Here is an 8003-nt window from a genome sequence, read left to right as displayed (position 1 = left end):
GGTTTATGAAATAGTAGCAGATGCTCTCTCTCCCTCCCAACCTTTCTTGCAACTAAGGGCAAGTACTTGCCAATCAGATACTCCTGGCCCAGGCTTTAAATTGCAAGCTAGGTCACAAGTGAGCTGTTCTCTGCAGAATTCATTCTGGCAGGGGTCAGGGAGTGGGAATGGCTCAGAGACAGCTGTGGATGCAGTTTAAGTGGTAAATTCTGACGTCTAGTGTCAGAGCTCTATGGGACATAAGTTGCAGTGCTGTGCCCAGTGGCAGCAAAAGGGTCATCAATGGGCCACTCTGTAACACAACAGGAATGTTGTTCCTGACTATGTAGCCTCCAGATCTGGTCTTCTGTGCCACCCATCCTCCAGAAATCCTGTAAATTAACCAAAATTTATTTTTTAAAATTAAGTCTTAACTCACATGCAGAAAAGAGCACAAGTCTTAAGAATGTAGGTCAATAAGGCCTGGTGCGATGGCTTACGCCTGTAATCCCAGCACTTTGGGAGGCTGAGGTGGGTGGATCATGAGGTCAGGAGTTCAAGATCAGCCTGGCCAAAATGGTGAAACCCCATCTCTACTAAAAATACAAAAAATTAGCCGCACATGGTGGTGAGCACCGGTAATCCCAGCTACTCGGGAGGCTGAGGCAGAGAATTACTTGAACCCCGGAGGCGGAGGTTGCAGGGAGCTGAGATCTTGCCACTGCACTCTAGCCTGGGCAACAGAGTGAAACTCCGTCTCAAAAAACGACAAAAAAAAAAATAAAAAGAATGTAGGTCAATAACATTTTACATATCACTTCCCTGTGTAACCACTGCCCAGATCAAGATATAGAGGATTTCCAACATGCAGAAGGCTTGTTCATAGAGCTCTCTCACTCAGTATTCCCTCAGGAATGGCAATCCTGACTTGTCTCCCAGAGACAAGTTTTTCCTGCTGTTGAACTTCATATAAATGGAAATACACAGTATGTAGTCTTCTATGCCTAGCTGCCTTCACTCAACATTGTATCTGTAAAATTCATCCATTCATACCTCTATTGAGGCATGTATCAATAGATCATTTTTTTAATTGATGTCTAGATTTCCACTGTGTATTTACAACACAATTTATATAACTCGTTGATGGACATTTGGTTGCTTCCAATTTTGGGTTATTACAATTAAAGTTTCTACAAAGCTTATTATGTATGATTTTTGGTAGACAAAAGTCCAGATTTCTGTTGGATATACCCAGGAATAGGTCATTGGGTTTAAATACGTTTAAATTTAGTGGCTACTCACAAACATTTTTCCAAAATGATTGATTTATATTCCAACCAGCAATATAAAATAATTTTAGTTGTTCTATGTTCTTGTAAATATTTGGTATTGTTAACATTTTAATTTTAGCCATTCTGGTGGGTACTAAGTCATGGTTCATTATGGTGTGTTTGCGTGTGTGTGTGCATGTGACTTTGAGCATGTATTAAAGTAACTCCTGAATGAGGAATCAGAAAACAGATAAAGCTTGTTCAAAGGACTAAAGGAAAGACAGAAATACTTATAGTCATTAAAAGAAAGAATGTTAATTTAGATACAAACTTGCTTAGTGTCCTACAGGTAATGAAACTATAACCTTTAGGGTTATCTTTTTTATTGAAAATCATTTACATGTCTACGGAAAAAAATCAGTTGCATTGTTCTAGAGAATAATTTACATGCCATTCAGTATACTAAAAATTAACATCTATCTGGATGTACAAACTGAGTGATTCTATCTCTACAAAAGTCATACGTTGGAATCCTAATACCCATTGTGATGGTATAAGGAGGTGGGGACTTTCAGAGGTGAATAAATCATTAGGGTGGAGCCCTCATGAATAAGATTGGTGCCCTTTTAAGAAGAGACATGAAAACGGTTATCTTCCTCTCAGCCATGTAAGACTACAATGAGAAGACAGCCATCTGTGAACCTGGAAGTGGGTTGTCACCAAACACTGGATCTGCTGGCACCTTGATCTTGGACTTTCCAGCCTTCAGAATTGTGAAAAACAAATATTTATTGTTTAAGCCACCCAGTTTACGTTTTTGTGCTATGGCAGCCCAGACTGACTAACAAGATTTCTTAATAAATAGCAACTACCGAGTCAAAGATGAACCTATTTGACAATGAAAGGACATGCAGTCATCCTTTTCTCTTTATAAGTTATGGACATTTTTCATTAATCATTCTTTCATTGCTATTATCAAGGATCTCATTGTGGTTTAGCCTCGTAGACTTACGTAGATGTAGCAAGAAGCATTATTTAACATTTAGAAACCAACCTGTGGTGTATAACTAGGAAATTCAGAGCTGTACCTACTTAAGACCAGATTAACTTCTGTCTAAAGTCTTTGTAGGAACTGTCTTTTTAACAGTCTCCATTACTCCAAGATGTTTTTAGTTACTCTTGTATTATGATGTTAGAAAACCAAACCCAAGAAATTCATCTCTGTTAGATTACCTGCAGTACCTATAAATGTGGGTAAATTCCTTTGTTTTCAAGGTCTCAAAAGTCTTCTGAAACCATGGGCCTGCAAGAAAGCGACCTTACTTCCTGTAAGGCTGGGTCTCTATAAACCATGAAATAGACACCAGAACAGCTTCCTAGGAGGCTTTTTAGCATTGGTTTCATATGTGAAGTACAACTCTTGCTTTTTAATGGTTGACTAGTCATACATATTTAAATAAATTTATTGGCACTCTAAAAAAATAATTTGGAACTTGTCAATTAATTTGTAAAATTAATTGTCTGTTAAAAAGGTTTTATTGAATCTATGTAGGTAACTACATTGCCACTGAAAGAAAAGGGATTCGGTAAAAATAATTGTTGCTGATTACTGAAGGATCAATGACCATAAGATACTCTTTTTAAAATGTCCTAATAAAATAAGATTGGAAATAAAAGAGTTAAGAATAGATTAAGTAGCAGTATCCATCATATACCTATCAAAAATATAACATAGATGTGGAACACTTGCAGGGAACTAAAAAAAAAGAAAAGATATGATATCAAAACTAATGCTAACATTATTCCAATAAAAAATCACAGTTTTGTATTCTCATCATTTCATCATTTTTCTTTTTTTCTTTTTTTTTCTTGAGACAGAGTCTTGCTCTATCACCCAGGCTAGAGTGCAGTGGCGCAATCTCAGCTTATTGCAAACTACGCCTCCCGGGTTCAAGTGATTCTCCTGCCTCAGCCTCCTGAGTAGTTTGGATTACAGGCGCCCGCCACCACACCTGGTTAATTTTTGTATTTTTAGTAGAGACGGGGTTTCATCATCTTGGCCAGGCTGGTCTCGAACTCCTGACCTCGTGATCCACCTGCCTTGGCCTCCCAAAGTGCTGGGATTACAGGCATGAGCCACCATGCCCGGCCCATCATTTGTCTTAATTAAGTCTTGCCTCACTGGATATTGGGGAGAAGTCTAGTTTCAAGAGTTCATGTCTTTTCTGGACAGTCTGACAGTAGTCTAAGTAATGCCCACTCAGAAGCCATGTCTGCGTGAGTCCAGTCTTGGAAGTAACAATAAGTGTAGAAGTTTCTGGTAGAGTCCTTTCCACTAAATTTCTGAAACTATCCTTTTTTGATAAAGATCCATTTCTAGAGTTGTAGCTTATAGCAGAGGCTTCAGGCAAGTATAAGAGAAGGGCTGAGACCACTGGTTTATAAGAAGACAGACTGGCTGCAGTTAGTATAATAACTAACAAAATCAGAATGAAGGAAAGTAAAATTTTCTACTAGGGTATAATACATAATTGCCTTCTGAGGATTTGATCAATATTTCCCCTGAAGATAAGAATAGTCTATAAACAGTTAGAATTGTTAACAAATATCCAGGGCTTTCCAATCCATCCTGCCAAGTTGTAACAAGCTCTGAAACACACTTATCAGTAGGACTTTACCAGCACAGAACTAACCTAGGAACAGCTGAGCCTCATTTATTTAACCTTTTCCATGAAGCTGTCATGATAGCGTTGAACGAGTTAAGAAAAATAGACCACCCCAAAACTAATTATTTTTAGCCCCCCTCTTTTTATAAAGTTTAATTTAAAAAATCAATTTTTAATCTGGGAAGAACCTCAGAGGAACCACATAGTTTGTTTAGTGCAAAACGTTTTTAAGAAAAAAATTTTATGAATCTAAGATCTGATCTTGGGAAGGCAAAACTGAAACAACACAAGTGGATGGTTTCTAGTTCAGAGCATTACACAGGTGCTAGTGATCAGCGTATAGCCATAGTAGGTGGTTTGGCCCCTTATTAATAAGAGGCTCATGTAGCATTTAAAAATAAACCCAACAGAAGGTAACACCATCGTAGGAAAACTTAGCTTACTCAGAAGTAACTTTTATTCTTTGCTTGCTTGCTTACTTGTTTGTTTAATAATCAAGAACAGGCCAGGTACAAATGACTCATGCCTGTAATCTAGACACTTTGGGAGGCGAAGGCAGGAGGATTGCTTGAGGCCAGGGGTTCACAGTTACAGTGAGCTATGATCATGTCACTGCACTCCAGCCTTGGTGACAGAGCGAGAACCTGTCTTTAAAAAACAAACAAACAAAAAACAAACCAAAGTCAGCATAAAGCATAGAAAGTTATTTTGATGAGATATGTAATCTCTGCCATTTGAAATAACACAAAGGTAAAGGATAATTTACTACCTCTTAATAAGCACAGACTGAGGACTGCAAGTCCAACTTATCACATTTTAACAGAGGAAAAAATTTATAGTCTTGCATTAACACGGTATTCATGTGTTTTCTTTTTTAAAAAAATCTTACAAACAAACCTGTCAAAATTGAGCCAACTTTGCCAAAACTTTTAGCACATTGTGTTGCTTCTTTTCAGATTCATTTACCTTTAGGTATTAATCCAAGGCAAATAAAATTCTCTTTCTGCAAGCCTTCTATAAACCTTAAATATCATATCAGGTTTTTTCTTTACTACTTCTTTAACAAGATGCTCTCCTATAAGAAAGTCTACTCTTTCTCTTCCTTGCTAAATAATAACTCATCCCATTATTACCTAGATTCTACATTCATACTTCTCTGCCTCCACTTTACTTAGGATAGTCTCAACCACATAGAGTAATCATAACTTTTAAACAAAGTAATTAATTTCTCTTTCATGGAAAACTCTGGAAGACAGGACATTGAGAACTGTCTTTCGTACACTAGCATTTTAGCAGACCAGCAAAGCTCACAATGTGTGTGTGTGTGTGTGTGTGTGTATAGTATCTGCCAAAGAAGAATAGATCTTTGTCATTCCAACAGAGATGACAAAAAAAGTCAGTGCATAGAACCAGATCTCCATCCACTGCTGCCACAAAAGGAGAGTAACAGATTAGCTGTGCACAAGCCAGACTCACATGTACACAGGGTGGCGATCTCAGTAGAGACAGGCTGGGTATGTATTAATACTAGTCCCTGAACTTCAGTGAAAAAATAAATATGGACCAAACTTAAATTAGACAAGGCATAATTGGATGAATAGATGTAGCTCAGAACAGAAACAGAAACAAAAACAAAAACAGACTTGAAGAAGGGAAAAGAACAGAGAAACAGAGCCAGCAGGGTAAGTGTTTATTGCTGCTTGAGATTGTCTCCAAGAGCACAAGAAATACCTGGCATCAATCAGTGCAAAATTCAATAAGCCTAATTAATTTCAGAAGGGGAGTTTCCTGGGACATCTATGTGGAATCTCCAAAAATTGTCAAAGTACAATATTCAGTTAAAACAGATCTCCCAGCCTCATGAATATAACACATGTTAAAGATTTATTGAACTCATTATTAATGAAGGAATCAGCAGAAAGTTAAAGCTGGTTTAGTTCCTGCTTATGGTTTCAAATTGCTTTTCTCTAATCAACATCCTTTTAATACCGTCCTTTTTCTGTTTAAATTACCCAGATTTGGTTTCTGCTGCTTACACCTAAGAGACCAGCCTACTACATAAATTAGTACCATCACTGGTTCCAAATAACAGGCCTTGAGAGACAGAGAAAATTTGTGTGTATATTTTAGCCTTGTTAGAGCTGAGGGCAGTGAAAACATAGGTAAGAGATGGGACACTAGAAGCTAATGCTTGCCTTTAATCAAATTTCCTCTATGATACCCTGGAATAAAATGTCCCTTGAAGTCAAGGCTTTAGAGGAATGAAGGGAGGTATTGTCTCTAGAAGATTTAAAAGCTCTAATACAAACAAATGGAAGTTTGTTTGACTTTTATTACCATGTGCCTGTATACTCATTCACTAGCTTTTTTGGTCTGAAAAAAAGTAAGTGGGTTTTGGAAAATGACAAAGAGTAATTGTAGGTTTAATCAGGTAGTAACTCCTGTTATAGCTGCTGTTGAAAAAACAGTCATTGATTGGAGAAAGTCAACACAACCTCTGAAAACCAGTATGCAGCTTTTCATCAGGCAAATCTATTTTTCTCTATTTTAGTCAATATAGAACACCAGAAACACACCTTCAGGAGAGAACTGGAGTGCTCTACCATCTGCAGGACATGGCACTGTCTACTGCTCAGAGGAGACTGGGCTGACAGAGCTGGAGAGCCAGAAGTAACCCTCACCCACATGATTTAGTAGGATACGTGTGTGCCAGAGGGAAGGAAATAAAATTCATAAAATTCAGGAACCTACCCAATCAGTCAAGTCCTAGGAGGTTCAGCACACTGTGAGATACCCTCTGAATTAAGTGACATGTCGCTATCCTTTTTACCCCCTACCATTAAAAAAGGTCACTCGGTGGACCTCCTCAGGGTTTGGAAGCAACATTTGGTTTACAGTCCCTTGCGTTTACTAGATGAATTGAAAATTTTTGTATTTGAGTTCAGCCCAGAAAAAGAGATGACTTTTCTAGTTCATACTGCCAACAAGCAGCTCAGCCACTTGGTTCTTAAGTCCCAGAAGAACTAATTCACTGTATTCTGTGGACAAGTTGAAAATTAACAACTGCCAACACACCCTATAGACGTGGTGAGGTAAGAAATAGGAAAGAAAATTAAATATATATCTCTCATATATTCACACATATATAATATTATATATATTTACATATAGATTCATGTAATTTTTAATTCATTTTTTAAACTTAAAAAATATATAAGTTTACATACACACATATGTGTAGTATTAGGTTTGTGCAAAAGTAATTGTGGTTTTCTTGCGGGAATCAGGAGGACTAGAGAGACCACGGGGAAGAGCAGGATGATTTTATTGAGTGCAATCAGACCCAGTGGATGATCATCCAGAGACTGGGCCCAGAACAAAGACAGACTTGACTTGTATACACACTTCTAAAAGAGGGTGGGCTAGCCTGAAACAAGCTTACAGTGGCACAAAGCATAGTGGCATGAAAGCAAGGATACAGGGCAGAACAAAGGCAGTTAATCAAATTGTGACAGGTACATAACCCAGAATTACACATGACCTTTGCTATGCAGCCCAGATGGCTGTTATCTAGACTTTGCTCTAGTGCCTTGCACAGGCTTATCTCATAACCTTTGCTATGGTGCCCAGGGAGCTGTAGTTCAGGCCTGCTCAGACAGCTCAGGACCTTCACTGTACCACTTAGATAAAACAGAATATTTGAAGTTACTAGTTACAGAGAACAGGAATCTATAAACTCATACCATAAGAGAAAGGAAAATTTGTTTTTCTCCTCCCAAGGTTGAGGGAGTGCTGGGAGAGTCTCCAGAGCACATTCCTTTGAGCCCTGGCTTCCCAGATAGTGTTTATCGAGGCTTTTCCTGGGTCTGGGCTGTGCCTGTTGCTGCCCCTGGGATAAGTCAGCCTAATACAGGAAAGCTTATTTCTTTTTCTTTTTAATTTTTTTTCTTTAATTTCCACCTCAGTTTTCGCCAGTGCTTTTTATCTTGGTCTCTGCTGAATCCTCAAGACCTGAAACCAACACATAATTGGTGCTTGTTAAATATGTGTTGAAGGATTGCGATTGAATAAATTATTGATCAGATTT

At 38.0% G+C, this 8003-nt stretch overlaps 2 annotated features.

Moving 5' to 3' along the window:
* Window positions 2894-3063: an enhancer, noted in NCBI's record as "experimental_90359 CRE fragment used in MPRA reporter constructs". NCBI's record gives its function as "activates a minimal promoter by MPRAs in K562 erythroleukemia cells, with activity observed for both the introgressed and non-introgressed 6:137445329 variant alleles {active_cell/tissue: K562}" and the evidence as "EXISTENCE:reporter gene assay evidence [ECO:0000049][PMID:34662402]".
* Window positions 5449-5618: an enhancer, noted in NCBI's record as "active region_25133". NCBI's record gives its function as "activates an Ori minimal core promoter by ATAC-STARR-seq in GM12878 lymphoblastoid cells {active_cell/tissue: GM12878}" and the evidence as "EXISTENCE:reporter gene assay evidence [ECO:0000049][PMID:35858748]".

Source organism: Homo sapiens, chromosome 6 (genome assembly GCF_000001405.40).
Source record: "Homo sapiens chromosome 6, GRCh38.p14 Primary Assembly".
In the NCBI taxonomy this organism is placed as follows: Eukaryota; Metazoa; Chordata; class Mammalia; order Primates; family Hominidae; genus Homo; species Homo sapiens.
The sequence above is the reverse complement of the archived record's forward strand: the minus strand, read 5'-3'. Positions and strand labels throughout refer to the sequence as shown.